At 39.7% G+C, this 23037-nt stretch overlaps 1 protein-coding gene across 2 annotated transcripts in view, besides 1 other annotated feature; it reads right to left on the reverse strand.

Annotated features, from left to right (window-relative positions):
• The window catches only part of ITFG1 (integrin alpha FG-GAP repeat containing 1), a 306856-nt gene that overhangs the window by 255893 nt on the left and 27926 nt on the right, over positions 1 to 23037 (reverse strand). For both annotated transcript variants that reach the window (NM_001305002.2, NM_030790.5), the window contains exon 6: positions 18521 to 18615. In NM_001305002.2, coding sequence (NP_001291931.1) covers positions 18521 to 18615 — 95 coding nt within the window. The remainder of the gene's footprint in view (positions 1 to 18520; positions 18616 to 23037) is intronic.
• Positions 14370 to 14870: an enhancer, noted in NCBI's record as "H3K4me1 hESC enhancer chr16:47458564-47459064 (GRCh37/hg19 assembly coordinates)". NCBI's record gives its function as "activates a minimal SCP1, AML or CMV promoter by ChIP-STARR-seq in primed H9 embryonic stem cells {active_cell/tissue: H9 hESC(primed)}" and the evidence as "EXISTENCE:reporter gene assay evidence [ECO:0000049][PMID:30033119]".

The following is a 23037-nucleotide window of genomic DNA, read 5'->3' on the forward strand; positions in this document are numbered from 1 at the left end:
AAAACCCTCTAATAGAAAAATGGGCAAAGTATGTAGTAAATAAGCAATTCCAAGAAAAATAATTGTAAATGGCCAGTTAGTATATGAAAAGCTATTTAATAATATTAATTATATAATTCAGGAAATGGTAATCAAAATAAGATATAGAGTGATTCAGCACAAGACGGCTGACTAGACACAGCCAGGAAGCGCCTCTCCCACTGAGAAAGACTAAAATATTGAGTAAATCAACATACTTTGAACAGGTCTTTTGAGAGAAAACACTGAGAGTTGGCAGAGAGGTGACGCAGACAACAGGTCTGAAGAGGGAGGAAGCTGGAACCCTTGCCTGGCCTTACTGAGCACCTTGACGAGTTCCTGGCCCTAAACAGCTCCTAAGGAAGGTGTGAGTGAAGGAACTGTGGCACAGCCCGCTCTCAACACGAACCTCTCGGATCTTGGCTACAAGACACCCCACAACCCCCATAGACGTTGGAATTGGCAGGCAATCTACCTGGAGAGTAGGCAGAGACAGAGATTGAGCCTGCGCAGAGGTTGAGGGGTTTTGCGTGCAGGGCATCTGTGGCAAAACATAGCAATGGGGACCCATTCCCCAAGGCTCTCCATCTTCTTCTGGGTAGCTCTAACCAGGGCCAGGGAAAGAGCAGGGTATGTTTGTTTGCCACCCCATCCGCCAGCCTCTCCCAAGGCCCCTGCCTGGCAGCTCCCACCAGAGCATGCCCACAGCACAACCTCCGCTGAGCAGTTCAAGTGCTTTGCTGCCAGCCCTACCTGCAGGCTTTCCAGTGACCCAGGGACAGTGGACAAAGCTGCAGGTTCAGGCCCCAGGTGAGAGCACACAGCTCAGGAGTGCCAAACTGAGATCTGTGGCTGGCACTTGAATGGAGGAGGAGCTCCACTCTCAGAACACTGAGAAAAATGAGACACAGATTTGTGGACTGGCATGGGAACTGGGCATGCCTCCTTCCACAGGTATGGGCCAGGAAGGGTGTCGCCCATATGCCAGCCACAGCCTGTGACTGAAGTAGTCCTACAACCACAACACAACCCCAGTGATTTGGGGGCAGGAGGCTTGGAAGACAAAACTAGCTGGTTGGGGCAGATACCGGGGAGGCCACCAGAAGGAGACTGGTGGAGGGAGGGTGTGCTGGGTGGTCCCAAAAACTGTCTTGCTGAGTGACAAAACCTTGGGCTGTGGGCGCCATACCGGCTGCACACTCAGGGAAATAACGCCCTGCCCAGAGGTCCCCTGCCCTTGACCTACTGCATGAACAGACCACTTGCAGACATACCCTATAACCTGCTCTGACTCTGCCAAGCAAAGATGGACGACCAGCAGGACTCTGAATGCTGGTCTCATAGTGACCCACCTTTGACTCGGACAACCACTAAGGAAAGGGGAGGTACAGCCCGCCAGGACCCCCACTGGAGCCAAGGAAAGATGGGTGCAGTCCTAATGATTGGAGGTGGCTCCCATACGGCCTGGGAACAGGTCTGGCAAGGAGGTCATCATTGCCACCCTAGTCTCCCCAATCACAGAGCGCTCTTGCAAATGTAGTCAAACACAAAAGAGGCGCACTGCTGAGTAAGTTTACCTGCTACACATTACTTTTAAGTGCCATCTACTGCATAGCAACCTATATTACACCACCAAAAAAAATTCTTCCAGCATACATTGACTGTGAAACCCAATGCAGAAATCTAGCCACAAATAAAGATCCTGTACAGAGCTTTGGACCTCAGAAATAACCCAGAAACAAAGCCAATATTCAACTTAAACCACAGTCAAACCCTCAAGGGAAATACAGAACATAAAAACAAAAAGCACCATCCAAACAACAGCAAATTCAAAAAGATAAAGGAATACCAGCCCTCTCAGATGAGTAAGAATCAGCACAGAACTCTGGTAATTCAGTCAGAGTGTCTCCTTACCTCCAAACAACTGCACTAGATCCCCAGCAACACTTCTTAACCAGATTGAAATGGCTGAAATGACAGTCATAGAATTCAGAATCTGGATGGCCAAAAAAAATGAGATCCAGGAGAAAACTGAAACCCAATCTAAGGAATCCAAGAAAATGATCCAAGAGTTGAAAGACGACATAGTCATTTTAAGAAAAAAACAAACTGAACTTCTCAAGTCAAAAAATTCACTACAAAGGCTGGGCACGGTGGCTCACTTGAGGTCAGGAGTTCAAGACCAGCCTGGCCAACATGGCAAAACCCAGTCTCTACTGAAGATTTAAAAAAAAAGAAAAAAAATAGCAGGATATGGTGGTGTGTGCCTGTGGTCCCAGCTACTTGGGTGGCTGAGGCATGAGAATCACTTGAACCCAAGGAGGTGGAGGTTGCAGTGAGCCAAGATTTGCGCCACTGCACTCCCTCCTGTGTGACAGAGCAAGACTCTGTCTCAAAAAAAAAAAAAAAAAATCATGAAACAGTTGGAAGAATTAAAAACAGAATAGAACAAACTGAGGAAAGACTCCCAGAGCATGAAGACTGGTCCTTCAAATCAACTCTGCCAGACAAAAATAAAGAAAAATGAATTTTGAAAAATGAACAAAACCTCTGAGAAACATGCGCTTTTATAAAGAAACAAAACCTACCACACATTGCCATTCCTGAGCCAGTAGGAGGCTGTAAGCAACTTGGAAAGCATATTTGAGGATGCAGTCCATAAGATTTCCCCCAATCTGGCTAGAGAGGTTGACAGGCAAATTTAAGATATTCAGATAATTCCTGTGAGATACTATACAAGATGACCATCCACAAGACACATAGTTATCAGAATCTCCAAGGCCAACATGAAAGAAAGAAGCAGCTAGAGAGAAGGGTCAGGTCACATACAAAGGAAACCCCATCAAGCTAGCAGTGGACCTCTCAGCAGAAACCTACGAGCAAGAAGAGACTGGGGGCCTATTTTCAGGATAATTAAAGAGCAGAACCAACCAAGAATTTGATATTCTGCCAAACAAAACTTCTTCTAAGCTAAGGAAAAACAAAATCCTTTTCAGACAAGCAAATGTTAAGGGAATTCATTCCCACTATGCCAGCCTTACAAGAGTTCTTTAAGGGAGTGCTAAATATAGAAATGAAAGAATAAGACCTGCTAACCACAAAAACACTTAAGGCCAGGTCAAATGGATCACACCTGTAATCCTAGCACTTTGGGAGGCCAAGGTGGACAGATCACTTGAGCCCAGGAGTTCAAGACTTGCCTGGGCAACACGGAGAAATCCTGTCTCTATAAAACGTTTAAAAATTAGCCTGGTGTTGATGGCACACATCTGTAATCCCATCTACTTGGGAGGCTGAAGTGGGAGGATCACTTGAACCCAGAAAGTTGAAGCTGCAGTGAGCTGAGTTGGCGCCACTGCACTCTAGCCTGGGCAACAGAGCAAGACTTTGTCTGAAAAAAATACTGTAGTACATAGCCCACAGATACAATAAAGCAACTCCAAAATCAAATAAAATATCATTTGATTTGCAAAAAAATAAAACCGTAAGGTGCAGGGACTGTCTAATACTCCTAGGATTGCACAAGAACATACAGATGTACTTATTCTCGCTCTTATCCCCCAGGCTAGAGTGTGATGGTGCGATCTTGGCTCACTGCAACCTCTGCCTCCCGGGTTCAAGTGATTCTCCTGCCTCAGCCTCCCGAGTAGCTGGGATTACAGGCGCCTGCCCCCATGCCCGGCTAATTTTTTAATTTTTAGTAGAGTCGGGGTTTCACCATGTTGGCCAGGCTGGTCTCGAACTCCTGACCTCAGTTGATCCACCCACCTTGGCCTCCCAAAGTCCTGGGATTACAGGCGTGAGCCACCACGCCCAGCCGAGATGTACTTATAAAAAGGTTTAACAGAGCAATGCTGCAAACAAACAAACAAAAGAAATACATAAATGCCCACCAAGAGATGAATGTTTAACTGAATTTTACAATCCATATGTAATGGAATAATACCAAGGATCTATTTTTTTTTTTTTATCCCAGTTCTGGGAGGCACAAGTGGGCAGATCACTTGAGGTCAGGAGTTCAAGACCAGCCTGGCCAACAGGGTGAAACCCTGTATCTACTAAAAATACAAAAAAATTAGCTGGGTGTGGTGATGCATGCCTGTAATTCCAGCTACTAGGGAGGCTGAGGCAAGAGAATTGCCTGAACCTGGGAGGCAGAGGTTTCGGTGAGCTGAGCTCCCGACACTGCACTCAAGCCTGGGTGACTGAGTGAGACTCTGTCGTAAAACAAAAAACAAAAAACAAAAAACAAACAACAACAACAACAACAACAAAATCCCCCAAAACAATAACAACAAAAACCCAGGTCAATCCATATGTGTCAATATACTAATAAATCTGAATTAAGAAAGAATCACAATTCTATACACAATTCCATTCGGATAAAAAAGGAAAATGTGCATGTATCTGCAAAGAACACTTCAGGAAGAAGAAAATGAAGATAGTAGTTGCCTCTCCTTTATATACTTTTGAACTGTTTTAATTTCTTACCTTAATTATACTACTTTTAAATAATTCAAAATAAAATAAAATAAAATAAATGTTGAGTTCATAGCCTTCTGTTTTTACCACTATAAGTTCACCTTATTGAAGCTTAGCCATTTTCATGGCTTCAACAATATGGAAGAACTCTACACTTTTTAGGCTCTGACCTTGATCTGTTTTTCAGGCTCTAGGGACAAATTGAAACTGGGTGCCTGCATGAATATCCCATCCATTGCCTCAAATACACTGTTGTCTAAAATCAAATTCTTCAAATCAAGAATATCAAGGGATATTAATGTTCCCATGTGTCTGCAGTTTCAACCATAAAAATCTTCATTCTCAGCCGTCCTCATGATACATATATTCCATTGTTGGACAAGAACCTGGATGCTGATATTTTGTCATTGTTTCCTCAATGCAGATGCTTATTCTTTAGTTATGAAATGAGGTGAAAAGATAAGGTTGAGTTTCCTTTGCAAGAATAAAGGAATATAACAGAGTCGACTTTAGGTAACAGATGGCCACTTCTGCTATGCATGGAAGAGTGGGGTTACTAAAAGACAGAATTTATTTTCTTAAAGTGGATTATCGAAGAAAGTGAGACAATCAGAATGACATGATCAGGTTACTATAAAGAATGTGGTATTAAAGAACTTCAGTCCTTGAAGACTATTTGGAAAACTGTAGCAGAGATGAATCGGAATTGCCTGTGGTTGTATATAAATGCCTTGGTTGTCAGAATAACAGAATTTGCAAAGCAGAGAATTTAGGAAAAGCTAAAAATCAGTAATAGAAAAAACAGAAATGGTTTTCACATATGAAAAAGGAATTCCATTTCAATAATGTAAGATATGCATATCAAAATCATAATGAAATACCATTTTTTCCAATCATAATGATTGGATCCAATCATCCAATGATAATTCAAAAAAGGTAATACCTAGTGCTGGCAAAAATGAGAGAAATAAGCACTCTCATGAGCCTTTCTTCAGGGCAAGATAAGTGTTTCACCTCTTTAAAAATCTTGCCGTGTGCAGTGGCTCATGCCTATAACCCCAGCACTTTGGGAGGCTGAGGTGGGCGGATCACCTGAGGTTGGGAGTTCGAGCCCAGCTTGGCCAACATGGTGAAACCCCGTCTCTACTAAAAATACAAAAATTAGCTGGGCATGGTGGTGGGCGCCTGTAATCCCAGCTACTCAGGGGGCTGAGGCAGGAGAATCCCTTGAACCCAGGAGGCAGAGGCTGCAATGAGCCAAGATTGCACCATTGCACTCCAGCCTGGGCAACAAGAGCGAAACTGTGTCTCAAAAACAAAACAAAACAAAACAAAAAACACCTTTATACTTGTTTAACCATTTATTTCATATGCAGAAACTCTTCATGAGATTATGAGCGATGTCCACAAAATCAGGCACCAGAGCAATAAAAATAAAATAAAAATTTAAAAAACCAGAAACAACATACATAACTTAAAAAAAAAGAGATGTTAAATAAATTGTTATAATCATATAGTGGATAAGTCATTAGAAGTCATATAGATTTGACTATTTAAAAAAATTAAGAACTAAAAATATTTAAAAAGAAAAAACTGAGAATTCATACATTACTTGTTTTTTCTTCAACAGGAAGTTCTCTTTATATTAAGAATTTCAGCTAAAGCTTATTGTTTGCAAAAGTTTTGTATGTCTGATATAGTTTAGATGTTTGTCCCCTCCAAATCTCATGTTAAAATCTGAGCCCCAATGTTGGAGGTAGGCCCTAGTGGGAAGTATCTATCTGGGTAATGGGAGTGGACCCCTCATGAATGGTTTGGTGCCCTCCCCATGGTTCTGAGTTCATTCAAGAGCTGATTGTTTAAAGGAGCCTGGCATTCCCCCCTCTCTCTCTGTTCCTGTCTCACAATATGATGTGCTTGCTCTCCCTCTGCCTTCCAACATTGGTGGAAGCCTCCTGAGGCTTCCCCAGAAGAAGCATGGAGAACCATGAGCCACAATAAACCCCTTCTTTGTAAATTATCCAGTCTCAGGTACTTCTTTATGTCAACACAAAAGGACTAACACAGTGTTCTAGGAATGAATATATTCTGGACAATGAGAAGTGTATACCATTTTATAAAAATTGGCCAAATTCTTAGCTAAATTTGTAGGACATGACAGTCCCAAGATAGCGGGACTACTGCTTACTATTACCTGTTATTGCTACATAGTAGTTCATAACTAATATGCACTTATTTCATTCTGCCACACATAATGGCTAGACTTGTCAGCTACTCCCAGTAAACTAAATTGTTTTTGATGGCTGATGGCACTTCTTGTCATCTTTGTATCTCATACAATGAATAGCAGAGAGGCCTTTGCATGAGGCAGGTACTCTGAAGGTTTGCTGAAATGATTTCAAAAGCAGAAACAGGGTTCTATATAACACAACTACAATAATTAACATTTTAAAACTTCCTCATATAATTTCTGAAAGATCACTCATCAAAGATAATTGCTATACATTTTATACAACAGATTAAGCAAATGCCTCTCATACATGTGTATAATATATAATGATCAAACTAGGATATTTAGGACATCTATCATCTTGAATATTTATTTCTGTGTGTCAGGAACACTTCAATTCTTCTCTTCTAGCTACTTTGAAATACAGAATATACTGTTGTTAACTACAGTCACCCTGATGTGCTATTGAATGTTAGAACTTATTTCTTCTAACTGTATATTTATACCCATTAACCACTCTTTTTTCATCTCCCACTCTACACTTTGCTTCTGGTAACTATTATTGACTATCTCTATGAGATAAACTCTTTTAGCTCCCATATATGAATGAGAACTTGTGATATTTGACTTTCTGTACATGGCTTAATTCACTTAACATAATGATCTCAATACACATGTTGATGCAAATAACAGGCTTTCATTCTTTTTTTATGGCAGAATATGATTCCATTGTGTATATATGCCATACTTTTTCCATTCATTAGCTGAAGGACACTCAGGTTGATTCCATATATTGCCTATTTTGAGTACTATTGCAATAATCATGGGGGTACAGATATCCCTTCAATATACTGATTTCCTTTCCCTGGGATAAATACCCATTGGTGGGATTGCTGGATGGTATGGTAGTTCCATTTTTAGTTTTTGTGTGAAACATCCATACTGTTTTCCATAATGGCTGTACTAATTTACATTTCAAACAATGTATAAGTGTTCTCATTTCTCTGCATCCTCAGCAGGATTTGTTTGAGATTTTTTTTTTGATCTTTTTGATGACAGCCATTTGAATAACAATGAGATATTTCACTGTAGTTTAAATTTCACTGATGATTAGAGATGTTGAGCATTTTTTCATAAACCTATTGGCCATTTGTATATCTTTTCTTGAGAAATGTCTACTCAGATCCTTTGCCCTCTTTTCAATAGGATTATTTGCTTTCTTACCGTTGAATTCTTTGAGTTCATTGTATATTATGGATATTTGTCCCTTGCCTAATGAACAGTTTCCAAATATTTTCTCTCATTATACAGGTTGCCTCTTACTCCGCTGACTGTTTCCTTTGAGGTGCAGAAGCTTTTTAGCACAACATAGTCCCATTTATCTTTTTTTTGTTTTTGAAATTTTTTTGTTTGTTTGTTTGTTTTTGAGCTTTTGAACTCCTAGCCATAAAATCATTGCCTAGACCAATATCCTGAAGTGTTTCCCTTATGTTTTCTTCTAGTAATTTTATAGTTTTGGGTCATTCATTTTGAGTTAATTTTTTGTATATCATGGTGGGGGGACTAATTTCATTCTTTTTCATACTGATGTACAGTTTTCCCAGCACTATTTATTAAAGAAAGTTTCTATTCCATGACGTATAATCTTGGTGCCTTTCTCAAAATTCAGTTGGCTGTGGAATTATTTCTGGGTTCTCTATTCTGTTCCACTGGTCTTTGTGTCTGTGTTTGTTTTTATACTAGTTCTATGTTGTTTTGGTTACTATAACTTTGTAGTATATGTCTGTAGCACATTTTAAACTCAGGCAGTGTGATGCTTCCAGAATTGTTCTTTTTGCTCAGTATTGTTATGACTACTCAGTATATTTTGTTGTTTCATAAAAATTTTAGGATTGTTTTTCCTATTTCTGTGAAGAATGCCATTGTTATTTTGATAGAGATTACACTGAATTTGTAGATTGCTTTTGGAAATATGGTCATATAATGATAATAATTCTTATGGTCCATGAGCATGAGATATCTATTTTTAATCTACTAACATGCATATGTTGAACCATCCTTGTATTTCTGAGATAAATCTCACTAGTTCACGTTGTTTTATCTTTTTGATGTGTTCTTGGATTTGGCTTGCTAAGTTTTTTTGATTGGTTTTAGAGACAGAGTCTGTCTATGTTGTCCAAGGTGGAGCGTAGTTGCTATTCACAGCTGCAATCATAGTGTATTGTGGCTTTGGCCACCTGGCCCCAAGGGACTTCCTTCTTAATTTTTTTTTTGAGACAGGGTCTCACTCTGTCACTCAGGCTAAAGTGCAGTGGCATAATCATTGCTCACTGCAGCCTCAACCTCCCAAGCTCAAGCAATCCCCCCATCTCAGCCTCCCAAGCAGCTGGGACTGCAAGAGCATGCCACCAAGTCCAGCTAATTTTTTAGTACTTTTTTGTAAAGACAGAGTTTTGCCATGTTGCCCAGGCTGGTCTTGAACTCCTGACTTCACGCGATCCACCCAACTTGGACTCTCAAACTGCTGGGATTATAGGCGTGAGCCACTGCACCTGTTCCCTTGCACTTTCACGGCCTTACTTCAGGTCTTTTTTTTTTTTTTTTTTTTTTTGAGATGGAGTCTCACTCTGTCACCCAGACTGGAGTGTGGTGGCACAAAGCTCACTGCAACCTCTGCCTCCCAGGTTCAAGCAATTCTCCTGCCTCAGCCTCCCAAGTACCTGAGATTACAAATGCCCACAGTCATGCCCGGCTAATTTTTACATTTTTAGTAGAGATGAGGTTTCACTATGTGGGCAAGGCTGGTCTTGAACTCCTGATCACAAGTGATCCGCCCACCCCGGCCTCCCAAAGTGCTGGGATTATAAGTGTGAGCCACGACGCCCGCCCTACTTCAGGTCTTATTGGGCAGACTCTTTCACCTTTTTTTCTTTATCTTCTCTTTTTTTTTTTTTTGGAGACCAGCTTTTGCTTTGCTGCCCAGGCTGCAGTACAATGGTGCAATCATGGTTCACTGCAGCTCAATCCCAAAGTGCTGAGATTACAGGCACGAGCCACCATGCCCTGCCTTAATTTATTGAGTAAATGGTTGACCAAGAGCATGTTGTTTTATTTCCATGTACTTGTACAGTTTCCAAAGATCCTCTTGTCATTGATTTCTAGTTGTATTCCATTGTGGCATGAGAAGATGCTTGATATGATGCCAATTTTTAAAAATTAGTTGATTTTTTTTATGTGGCCTAACATCTGGTCTGTCCTGGAAAAGTAATAATATTCTGATGAGAAAAATATGTATTCTGTAGCTGTGGGATAAAATGTTTTGTAAATGTCTGTTGGGCCTATTTGGTCTAATGTACAGTTTATATCCAATGTTTCTTTATTGACTGTCTAGATGATCTGTGCAACAGTGAGAGTGTGATGTTGAAGTGCTGAACTATTAATGTACTGGATGGAGTCTACTATAGTTTAGAAAGCACGTTGACATCTGATTCACAATGATGGAGGTGGGCCTAAGAGGAAGCGTGAGGATCATGGGGGCAGATCCCTTATGAATGTCTTGGTGCCATCCTCACGGTAATGATTGAGTTCTGTATTAATTTCCATAAAAATATCCTCGAGATCCTGCTGTTAAAAAGAGACTGGTACTTCCCTCTCTCTCGTGTCCTATTTTTTGCTACATGATCTCTGTGCATATCAGCTCCCTTTCACCTTCCACCACAAGTGGAAGCAGTCTGAGCCTTTTACCAGAAGCAAATGCTGGTACCGTGTTCCTTGTAAAGCATGAAGATTTGTGAGCCACCTAAACCCCTTTCCATTACAAATTACACAGCTTCAGGCACTCCTTTATAGCAACACAAATGGATTAAGACAGAGTCTATCTCTGCCTTTAGATATAATAATATTTTCTTTATGTATCTGGGTGCTCCACTGTTAGATGCGTATATATTAAGATTACATTATCTTGCTGAATTGTTCTCCTTATTATTATATAAAGACCTTATATGTCTCTTTTTTGTTCAATTACCTTTCATCGAATATAAGTATAAGAACTCTTGCTCATTTTTGGTTTCTGTTTTCACGGAATATCTCTTTTCACCCCTTAGCTTTCAGTCTATACATGTTGTTACAGGTGAAGTGAGTGTTGTGTAGGCAGCATAAAGTTAGGTAGGTCATTTAAAAGAATCCATTTAGCCAGTCTAAAAACGTATGTGTGTGTGTATATATATGTATATATACACACATATATACATACATATGCACACACACACACACACACACACACACACACACACATACATATTTTTTTTTTCTGAGATGGAGTCTCGTTCTGTCACCAGGCTGGAGAGCAGTGGCGCGATCCTGGCTCACTGAACCTCTGCCTCCCAGGTTCAAGCGATTCTCCTGCCTCAGGCTCCTGAGTAGCTGGGACTACAGGCGCGTACCAACATGCTCAGCTAACTTTCTGTATTTTAGTAGAGACAGAGTTTCAGAATGTTGGCAAGGATGGTCTTGATCTCCTGACCTCATGATCCGCCCGCCTTGGCCTCCCAAAGTGCTGGGATTACAGGGGTGAGCCACCATGCCCGGACTAGCCAGTCTATATTTTTAAGTGGAAAATTTAAGCCATTTACAATCAAGGTTATATTTGATAGGTGATTAATTATTCCTTTTTTTTAAAATTATACTTTAAGTTCTAGGGTACATGTGCACAACGTGCAGGTTTGTTACATAGGTATACATGTGCCATGTTGATTGGCTGCACCCATCAACTCGTCATTTACATTAGGTATTTCTCCTAATGCTATACCTCCCACAGTCCCCCACCCAGCAACAGGGTCTGGTGTGTGATGTTCCCCGCCCCCTGTCCATGTGTTCTCATTGTTCCACTGCCACCTGTGAGTGAGAACATGTGGTGTTTGGTTTTCTGTCCTTGTGACAGTTTGCTTAGAATGATGATTTCCAGCTTCATCCATGTCCCTGCGAAGGACATGAACTCATCCTTTTTTATGGATGCACAGTATTCCATGGTGTATATATGCCACATTTTCTTAACCCAGTCTATCATTGATGGACATCTGGGTTGGTTCCAAGTCTTTGCTATTGTGAACAGTGCCACAATAAACATACGTGTGCATGTGTCTTTATAGTAGCATGATTTATAATCTTTGGGTATATACCCAGTAATGGGATTGCTGGGTCAAATGGTATTTCTAGTTCTAGATCCTTGAGGAATCACCACACTGTCTTCCACAATGGTCGAACTAACTTACACTCACACCAACAGTGTAAAAGTGTTCCTATTTCTCCACATCCTCTCCAGCATCTGTTGTTTCCTGACTTTTCAATGATGGACATTCTAACTGGCATGAGATGGTTTGCCAGTATTTTATTGAGGATTTTCACATCGATGTTCATCAGGGATATTGGCCTAAAATTCCCTTTTTTTGTTATGTCTCTGCCAGGCTTTGGTATCAGGATGATGCTGGCCTTATAAAATGAGTTAGGGAGGATTCCCTCTTTTTCTATTGATTGAAATAGTTTCAGAAAAAATGGTACCAGTTCCTCTTTGTACCTCTGGTAGAATTCGGCTGTGAGTCCGTCTAGTCCTGGACTTTCTTTGGTTGGTAGGCTATTAATTATTGCCTCAATTTCCAAGCCTGTTATCGGTCTATTCAGAGATTCAACCTCTTCCTGGTTTAGTCTTGGGAGGGTGTATGTGTCCAGGAATTTATCCACTTTTTCTAGATTTTCCAGTTTTTTTTTCCCATAGATGTGTTTATAGTATTCTCTGATGGTAGTTTGTATTTCTGTGGGAGTGCTTTACTTCCAATTATGTGGTCAATTTTAGAATAAGTGCGATGTGGGGCTGAGAAGAATGTATATTCTGTTGATTTGGGGTGGACAGTTCTGTAGATGTCTATTAGGTCCGCTTGGTCCAGAGCTGAGTTCAGTTCCTGGATATCCTTGTCAACCTTCTGTCTTGTTGATCTGTCTGATATTGACAGTGGGGTGTTAAAGTCTCCCATTATTATTGTGTGGGAGTCTAAGTCTCTTTGTAGGTCACTAAGGACTTGCTTTATGAATCTGGGTGCCCCTGTATTGGTGCATATATATTTAGGATAGTTAGCTCTTCTTGTTGAATTGATCCCTTTACCATTATGTAGTGGCCTTCTTTGTCTCTTTTGATCTTTGTTGGTTTAAAGTCTGTTTTATCAGAGACCAGGACTGCAATCCCTGATTTTTTTTTTTTTTTTTTTGCTTTCCATTTGCTAGGTAGATTTTCCTCCATCCCTTTATTTTGAGCCTATGTGCATCTTTGCCCATGAGACAGGTCTCCTGAATACAGCACATCAATGGGTCTTGACTCTATTCAATTTGCCAGTCTGTGTCTTTAAACTGGGGCATTTAGCCCATTTACATTTAAGATTGATATTGTTATGTCTGAATTTGATCCTGTCATTATGATGCTCGCTGGTTATTTTGCCCGTTAATTGATGCAGTTTCTTCCTAGCATTGATGGTCTTTACCATTTGGCATGTTTTTGTAGTGGCTTGTACTGGTTGTTCCTTTCCATGTTTAGTGCTTCCTTTAGGAGCTCCTGTAAGGCAGGCCTGGTGGTGAAAAAATCTCTCAGCATTTGCTTGTCTGTAAAGGATTTTATTTCTCCTCCACTTATGAAGCTTAGTTTGGCTGGATATGGGATTCTGGGTTGAAAATTCTTTAAGAATGTTGAACACTGGCCCACACTCTCTTCTGGCTTGTAGGTTTTCTGCTGAGAGATCCGCTGTTAGTCTGATCGGCTTCCCTTTGTGGGTAACCCGACCTTTCTCTCTGGCTGCCCTTGACATTTTTTCCTTCATTTCAACCTTAGTGAATCTGACAATTATGTGTCTTGGGGTTGCTCTTCTCAAGGAGTATCTTTGTGGTATTCTCTGTATTTCTTGAATTTGAATGTTGGCCTGCCTTGCTAGGTTGGGGAAGTTCTCCTGGATAATATCCTGAAGAGTGTTTTCCAACTTGGTTCCATTCTCCCTATCACTTTCAGGTACACCAATCAAACGTAGGTTTGGTCTTTTCACATAGTCCCATATTTCTTGGAGGCTTTGTTCATTTCTTTTTACTCTTTTTTCTCTAACCTTGTCTTCTCACTTTATTTCATTAATTTGATCTTCAATCACTGATACTCTTTGTTCCACTTGATCGAATCAGCTATTGAAGCTTGTGCATGCATCACAAAGTTCTCATGCCATGGTTTTGCAGCTCCATCAAGTCATTTAAGGTCTTTTTTACACTGTTTATTCTAGTTAGCCATTCGCCTAACCTTTTTTCAAGGTTTTTAGCTTCCTTGCGATGGGTTAGAACACACTCCTTTAGCTTGGAGAAGTTTGCTATTAACGATCTTCTGAAGCCTACTTCTGTCAACTCATCAAACTCATTCTTCGTCCAATTTTGTTCTCTTGCTGGTGAGGAGCTGCAATCCTTTGGAGGAGAAGAGGTGCTCTGGTTTTTGGAATTTTCAGCTTTTCTGCTCTGGTTTCTCCCCATCTTTGTGGTTTTATCTACCTTTGGTCTTTGATGTTGGTGACCTACAGATTGGGTTTTGGTGTGGATGTCCTTTTTGTTCATGTTGATGCTATTCCTTTCTGTTTGTTAGTTTTCCTTCTAACAGTCAGGCCCCTCAGCTGCAGGTCTGTTGGAGTTTGCTGGAGGTCCACTCCAGACCCTGTTTGCCTGGGTATCAACAGCGAAGGCTGCAGAACAGCAAATATTGCTGCCTGATCCTTCCTCTGGAAGCTTTGTCCTAGAGGGGCACCTGCCTGTTTGAGGTGTCTGTCGGCTCCTGCTGGGAGGTGTCTCCTAGTCAGGCTACATTGGGGTCAGGGACCCACTTGAGGAGGCAGTGTGTCCGTTCTCGGAGTTGGAACGCCACGCTGAGAGAACCACTGCTCTCTTCAGAGCTGTCAGACAGGGATGTTTAAGTCTGCAGAAGCTGTCCGCCGCCTTTTGTTCTGCTATGCCCTGCCCCCAGTGGTGGAATCTAGTGGCAGTAGTCCTTGCTGAGCTGCAGTGAGCTCCTCCCAGTTCGAGCTTCCAGGCCGCTTTGTTTACACTGTAAGCTACTCAAGCCACAGCAATGGTGGATGCTCTTCTCCCTGTCAAGCTGCAGCATCGCAGGTTGATCTCAGACTGCTGCGCTAGCAGTGAGCAACACTCCGTGGGTGTGGGACCCGTGGAGCCAGGCACGGGAAGGTATCTTCTGGTCTGCTGGTTGCTAAGACCGTGGGAAAAGCACAGTATTTAGTCAGGAGTGTACTGTTTCTCCAGGTACAGTCTGTCACGGCTTCCCTTTGGCTAGGAAAGGAAATCCCCTGACCCCCTGCAGTTCCTGGGTAAGGCGACACCCCACCCTGCTTCAGCTTGCCCTCCTTGGGCTGCACCCACTGTCCAACCAGTCCCAATGCAATGAACCAGGTACCTCAGTTGGAAATGCACAAATCACCCGTCTTCTGCGTTGATCTCACTGGGAGCTGCAGACCAGAGGTGTTCCTATTTGGCCATCTTGGAAGTGACGCTCCTTTTTTTTTTTTTTTTTTCCAGACAAGGTCTGCACTCTTGTTACCCAGGCTGAAGTGCAGTGGCATGATCTCAGCTCACTGCAACCTCTGCCTCCCAGGATCAAGTGATTCTCCTACCTCAGCTTCTTGAGTAGCTGGGGTCACAGGCGTGTGCCACCATGCCTGGCTAATTTTTATTTTTGATAGCGACAAGGTTTCACCATGTTGCGTAGATTGGTCTCAAACTCCTAAGCTCAAGTAATCTGCTTGCCTCAATCTCCCAAAATGATGGGATTACAGGAGTGAGTCACTGCACCTGGCCTATTCCTTTCATTTTATGAATCGTTTTCTGGTTGTTTTGCATACGTATCCTTTGTCCTTTCTTTATCTCTTATTGTTTATCAATGAGATATGGTGGTTTTCTGTACTGGTAACATTTACTGGTAACATTTGAGTCCTTTCTCTTTTTTATTTGTGTGTCTGAGCTACCAGTGAGTTTTATACTTTGTGTGATCTCATGATGGTAGATACTGTCTTTATGCTTCCAAATGCAGGACTCGCTTAAGAATTTCATGTAGGGCCATTCCAGTGGTAATGAATTCCCTCAGCTTTTGCATGTCTAGGAAAGACTTATTTCTTCTTCATTCACTTTGCTTGTGCAGATGGGTAGCAGTAGCCCTGGTGGCGGCTTACTTAAATGCAAAGTCAGTATTGTTTAAGGAAGTCTCATACTATTGAACTAAAAGTACATTTCTAAAGCTTCATTAAGATAGATTTTTCCTAAAAAGGAATTGTAAGAAACAAAAGTTTGGATGTGTGTGTATAACAAAAATAAGATTAAAAAAATGAACCTATAAGTATAGAATGTTCTCATCTTGAAAAGCAAGTTTCTAAGACAACTTCCATTGCAATGTAGTCAACACCTTATTATTGAGGTTTTCATGTGATTTGGCATACCAGATAAACCACACTAAAAATAATATGTTTTCTTTTCTTAAATTCTCCCCTCTCCTCCCCACCAAAACATACCAAGCATATTGAAGTACCTAGAATCTTAGATTCATAAAAAATTTACTAGATAAAAGGTTAAATTTGTGGTTTTAAGTCAGTAAAATCCACAGTGTATTTGGGCACTAAATATTTTTAACTTTGAAAATCGTACGTCAATAATGAAAATGTTGTAGCAAAAGTCATAATCAATCCAGAATTAAGAGGTTTAAATTATGCAATATTATTTTCTACCTGTTTCTCAATGAAAATTAGGTTTTGCATCATGGAATACTTTTAAAGAAAATAAGTTTTATTACATCTCACAGCCACTAGGCCTGCTTTACTCATTTGCAATTAGTACATTATATAAAAATGTAACTGTAAAATCAGACTGTTAAGTGTTTGAATGCTCACAAAAACAGGTGGGAAGTGGGGGCGGAGGTGGGGAAATCAAGTATTTATCTTGCCTGTCTCAACTGTACTGCAAGTGACTAAAGAACTGAGGATGGGAGTTCTTTTTAACAGAAAATTTAGCTAATTATACCTGCAGTAGAGTGACAGATTTAGTGTGTCACAATTTTGCAACTCCTGTTGAAATAATGGGGCTGACAATAATCATTCATACCTCCTAACCATTAGAGAATACTGTAATGGATGATCTATGCTGAGGAAAACTGAACCTACTGATCAATTTTAATATCACAGAAGAGAGAGAACTTAAACTGTATCACCTAATGAACTGAAACATACAGCAACACCTAGGAAATATTCTTGATATTCCCACTCCCACCACCCACAAAAGAATTCTGATTCTGTGGCTGGGCGCAGTGGTTCATGTCTGTAATCCCAGCCCTTTGGGAGTCTGAGGTGGGTGAATTGCCTGAGCTCTGGAGTTCGAGACCAGCCTGGCCAACATGGTGAAACCCCGTCTCTACTAAAATACAAAAAAATTAGCTGGGCGTGGCAGCATGCGCTTGTAGTCCCAGCTACTTGGGAGGCGGAGGTTGCAGTGGGCAGAGATCGCACCACTGCACTACAGCCTGGGCGACAGAGCGAGACTCTGTCTCCAAAAAAAAGAATTCTGATTCTAGGAACATAGTAACATGTTAACTCCATTGGGATACAATCTGAAAAATCCACACAACTGTACAGCACAGATGTGTACAGCACAGATGGTTTCTCTACTTCGGCATGAACCTTGTTTAACTTCCTGATTTGATAAAAACATGTCGGAGAAAATCTGGGCATTTTGAATAATGACTAGATATTCAATGACATTAAGAAATTGTTGTTGATTGGGTGTGGTGGCTCATGCTGGTAATCCCACCATTTTGGGAAGCCAATGTGGGTGGATTGCTTGAGCCAAGGAGTTCAAGACCAGTCTAGGCAACATAGGGAAACTCTGTCTCTACAAAAAATACAAGAATTAGCCAGGCATAATGGCACATGCTTGTAGTCCTAGATGCTCTCGAGGCTGAGGTGGGAGGATAGCTTGAGCCTGGGAGGCAGAGGTTGCAGTGAGCTGTGATCGCATGTACTACTGTGCTCCAGCCTGCGGAACAGAGTGAGACCCTCTCAAAAAAAGAAATTATTGTGTAATTTTTTTAGATTTCAAAATGATCTGGCAGTTTTAAATAAAAAAGTCCTTGTAATCTGAGATACAGATGGAAATATTTAAAAGTGAAATTATATGTTTGGGATTTACTTTAAAATTATCTTTGATAGGAGGAACTTGTAGGTGCATTTACAGGGGAAACAAGATTGGGCCATATAATTGTTGAAGCTAGGTGACGGTTAAATGTGCATATATTATAATATTCTGTCCAATTTTCTGTTTAAAATTTTCCATGATAACAAGTTTTAAAAGCCTGTGAAATTATTCTTGTACATAAGCTAAAGATTTTTCTTATTGTTAAATTTGTAGCACATATTATTTTAAAAATTTTTAATAAAAAAGGTAAAAAAAACAGCAGGCAACATGTGCTGAAATTATCATGAATTCATAAAAAGTAGAGAATTCAAATTCTGAGGCAGTTATTAATGAACAACAAAAACAACAATAGCTAAAGACTTATTTATTACAGTCAGTACTTTTTCCATGTTTCCAAATCACTGACTTTCTAACATCCTTTAAACATTAATTTCAACATTTACTTCATTAGCAATTAAATACAAAGTGTACAGTAAATAAAATCCCATACTTCTTTGGTAACTCAAAACAATTCCAGATTTATGTGCAACTCACCTGCTGTAAAATCTTCAGTCAGATCAATAAATGCATGAGAATGTGGAATTCGCATTTTACTTGTAGTGGTCAATGCTGGATGCCATGATAAATTCCTAAAAAATAAAATAAAAATACTTTTCTTAAGGCAAACATCAAATGAGCATTATTTTAAAATAAAAATCTCTGCATGCAAAACACTTAAATTTATTTATTTTCATTGATATATTCAACATACAATTCATTCTCTTAAAGTGCAGTGAGTGGTTTTTAGTATGTTCACAGTGTACAATCGTCACTACTATATAACTCCAAAGCATTTTCATCACACCAAAAAAGAAATTGTGTACTCTATTTCCCCTTATTGGCAACCACAAATCTGCATTCTGTCTCTATTCAGGACATTTCACATAAATAAAATCATACACTATGTGGTCTTCTGTGTTTGGCTTCATTCAGTTAGAATAATGTTTTCAAGTTCATCCATGTTGAAACATGTATCAGTGCCTCAGTTCTTTCTATAGCGGAATAATATTCCATTGTATGGGTTTACATTTTGCTTATCCATTCATCTGAAGATCTGGCTTGTTTCCACTTTTTGGCTGCTACAAACATTCATGTACAAGTTTTTATGTGGACATATGTCTTTAATTCTTTTTGGTATATACCTAGGAGTGGAATTGTTGGGTCATAGAGGAATATATGTTTAACTTTTTGAGGAATTGTTGAACTGTTTTCCACTTCACCATCTTACATTTGTACCCAGCAATGTAGGAGAATTCCAGTATCTCCAAATCCTGTCTTATTCTTGTCCATTTATTTTATTACAGCTATCCTAGAGGGTGTGATACAGTATTTCACTGTGGTTTGATTTGTATTTTCCTGATAGCTAATGATGCTGAACATGTTTGCTGTGGTTACTGGCCATCCGTATACATTCTCTGGAGAAATGTCTACTCAAATTATTTTTCCATTCTTAAATTGTGTTATGTATGTTATGTATTGCTTTACTGCTATCCATCCATCGATCCATCCATTCATCCATCCATCCATTTATTTTTAGATACACGGGTCTTACCTTTTTGCCCAGGCTAGTCTTGAACTCCTGGCTTAAAGGGATCTTCCTTCCTTGGCCTCTCAAAGGGCTGGGATTATAAGACCATTACCCTCAGTCCCTGTTGGTGCGTTTTAAGAGTTCTTTATATAATCTGGGCATTAGGCCTTTATCTAGTATATGACTTGTCTCCTAGGCTGTGGGTTGTCTTTTTACTTTTCTTTTTTTTTTTTTTTTTTGAATCAGAGTCTCGCTCTGTCACCCAGGTTGTAGTGCAGTGGTGCGATTTCCGCTCACTGCAACTTCCGCCTCCAGGGTTCAAGCGATTCTCCTGCCTTAGCCACCCAAGTAGCTAGGATTATAGGCATGTACCACCATGTTTGGGTAATTTTTTGTATTTTTTTTTTTTAGTGGAGACAGGGTTTCACCATGTTGGCCAGACTGGTCTTGAACTCTGGAGCTCAGGCAGTTCACCCGCCTCGGCCTCCCAAAGTGTTGGGATTACAGGCGTGAGCCACCATGCCCGGACATCTTTTCACTTTCTTGATAGTACAAGTTTTTAATTTTGATTAAGTCCAATATATCAATTTTTCATTTCTTTTTTGTTCTTTTGGTACCATATCAAAGAATCCATTTCCTAATGCAAGGCCATGAAAATTTGCCTGTTTTCTTCTAAGAGTTTTATAGTTTTAGCAGTCATATTTATTATCTTTAATCTTTTTTAAATGAATCAGAAAATAAATGATTAATGTCATACAAGGTTTTCTAATATTGTGGAAAATAATAATGATTCTCTTTTACAAATATTAATTCTAAAGTTTTGGACCATGCAGAAGAATAAATTGAAGTCCCTACTTCACACTACATACAAAATTTAACTCAGAATGGATGAAAGAACTAAAAGGATCTCTGGAAAACAGTTTGGCAGTTCTTCAAAAAGTTAAACACAGAATTACCATATGATCCTGCATTTCTACGCTTAGCTATATATCCAAGATAATTAAAAATAAGTAAACAAACAAATACTTGAAAAATGAATGCTCCTAGTAGTGCTATTCACAATAGCCCACAAGTGGAAATAACACGAATTCCCATCAGTGGATAAATGGATAAACAAAATGTCATATATCTATACAATGGACTATTATTAAGCCATAAAAATGACTAAATTACTAATACAATACAGACTAGTACAAAATGGATGATCCTTAAAAACATACTATGTGAAAAAAGGCAGAAACAAAAGGTTACGTACTGGAGAATTCCATTTATGTGAAATATTCATAATAGTTAAATCTATAGAGACAGAAAGCAGATTTGTGGTTGTCAGGTGCTGAGAGACAAAAGGGAGTGATTGCTTAATGCAGGGTTCCCTAACCCTTGGGCTGTGGACCACTACAGGTCCATGGCTTTTTAGGAACTGGGCCACACAGCAGGAGGTGGGCGGCAGGCAAGTGAGCATCACCTCATGAGCTCCGTCGCCTGTCAGATCAGTGGTGGCATTGGATTCTCAAAGGACTGCGAACCCTATTGTGAAATGCACATTCAAGGGATCTAGGTTGTGTGCTCCTTATGAGAATCTAATGCCTGATGATCTGAGGTGGAACAATTTTATCCCGAAACCACCCCCACCACCTGGCCTCTGACCCTGTCCATGGAAAAACTGAGTTCCATGACACCGGTCCCTGTTGCCAAAAAGGTTGGGGACTGCTGGCTTAGTGGGTACAGGGTTCCCTTTGCAGTTATAAAATGGTGTGGGATCCAGATAGAGCTGATGGTTGTGCAAAATTGTAAATGTACTAAATGATACTAAATTGTACACTTTATCAATTATACACCTAGGGATTCTATGATAAATTTAAAGTTTTATGTTATGTGAATTTTATCTTACTAAGGAAAGCCCATAGCACAAAGTTTCCATTTATCTCTCATTCAGTTTCCATTAATATTAACATCTTATACAACCACAGTATAAATATCAAAACCAGAAGGTAACACTGGTAGTACTTCTATCAACTATAGAAGAAAGAGCAAGTTTAAATAAAGTCATTCCCCTATAATTTCTCACTAGGTGAGAATTCCCCCATTTACCAAGGCTCTACTCAAATCAGCTTTCTCCAAAAGATCTTCTCTCTTCTCTGTTTTCCTGCCACACTTTTCCTTCCTAACAGCATTTTGGTTTGCATTAAAGTTACTTTAGGAACTTTCTCTTTGATGCTGTAAAGCTTCCCCAGAAACCTTGACTCATCAATATCTGTAGCCACAATGCCTAACCAGGACCTGGCTCCCATGAAATGTCAGTGAATGCCGGCTAGACTGAACCTCAGTCTCAAGCAGCATTTCCTATTCTTCTCTACTGCAGTTAGAAGTCACTACCGTTTTCATAGTAATATGTTCCAGTCCAATATGAAACCACAGATATGTCATCTCCATAGAGCAATTTAAGGCTATTTAAGTCCAACTTAATTGTCAACGCAGTATTCAACTGACTGGATAGCAAACAAGGTTTATAATTGTGAATTTGGTATTGATGTCTTTGGAAATCAGCAAGACACAATGGACTAATTTGTTCTTGGCAGGTGGAATCTGGGAAAAAGAATAAGCATTCATCAGGAGAAAATTTTCTCTACACAAAATGTGTTCTACAAACAGCAACCTCTTTCCAATAGCCTTCTACACATATTTTAGCACAAGCAGGGCCTAAACACACTTTAACCTAAATAAGACAGTAAAATCAAAACCAAGCAGTATTCATACAGACTAATTTCATTATTTTAATCTGAACTCTATAATATAAAGTCATGGTAATAAGAAAATATTAAAATGAATTGAGAAATTGCATTTAGCATATGTTGTAAGGTAATTCACGCCAAGCAACTGATTTGATTATTCTTTCACCATATACAAGGTTAGAAATCTTTAAAATAGTTTCACTTATATCCAATTTAATAATGACTGATTAACTTATTTTTAAGATAGACCATTTATTCATCAGTTCAATAATTTCTAAGCATTAAAGTATTTTAAATTACTAACAAAATAATCAGACTTGGGTTAAAGATTCTCTGACAAGTTTAACCCAAAGTAATTTCAGAAAACTTTCCTAATTTTGCCATCAAATTCATGTTATAGGCCAAGAATGATTAAAAACACAGACTTTTATAGAGTAAAGCTCAATGAGGTTGATCACGTGGCTCTGTCTCTAACCTGAGCAGTTACTGATCTCATTCCCTACAAATTTTTTAGTAGGCTAACTCTGAAATAAATTATGGCTAGAATTTTGGAAAAACTCAACTACCTTGTGACATTTTTTCCTAGGAGCTATTAAACCAAATGTTTATTTCAAAGGAAGACTCTAGAAAAGTGATAAATCAGAAGTCATAAAGGGACAGACCATCAGCCAAATTGAGCATAAAGATGTGTTTTATTGGGCCCATATACTCCTTTAAGAATCTTGAATTCATTGCTATAACTTAAAAAGAAA

Source organism: Homo sapiens, chromosome 16 (genome assembly GCF_000001405.40).
Source record: "Homo sapiens chromosome 16, GRCh38.p14 Primary Assembly".
NCBI lineage: Eukaryota > Metazoa > Chordata > Mammalia > Primates > Hominidae > Homo > Homo sapiens.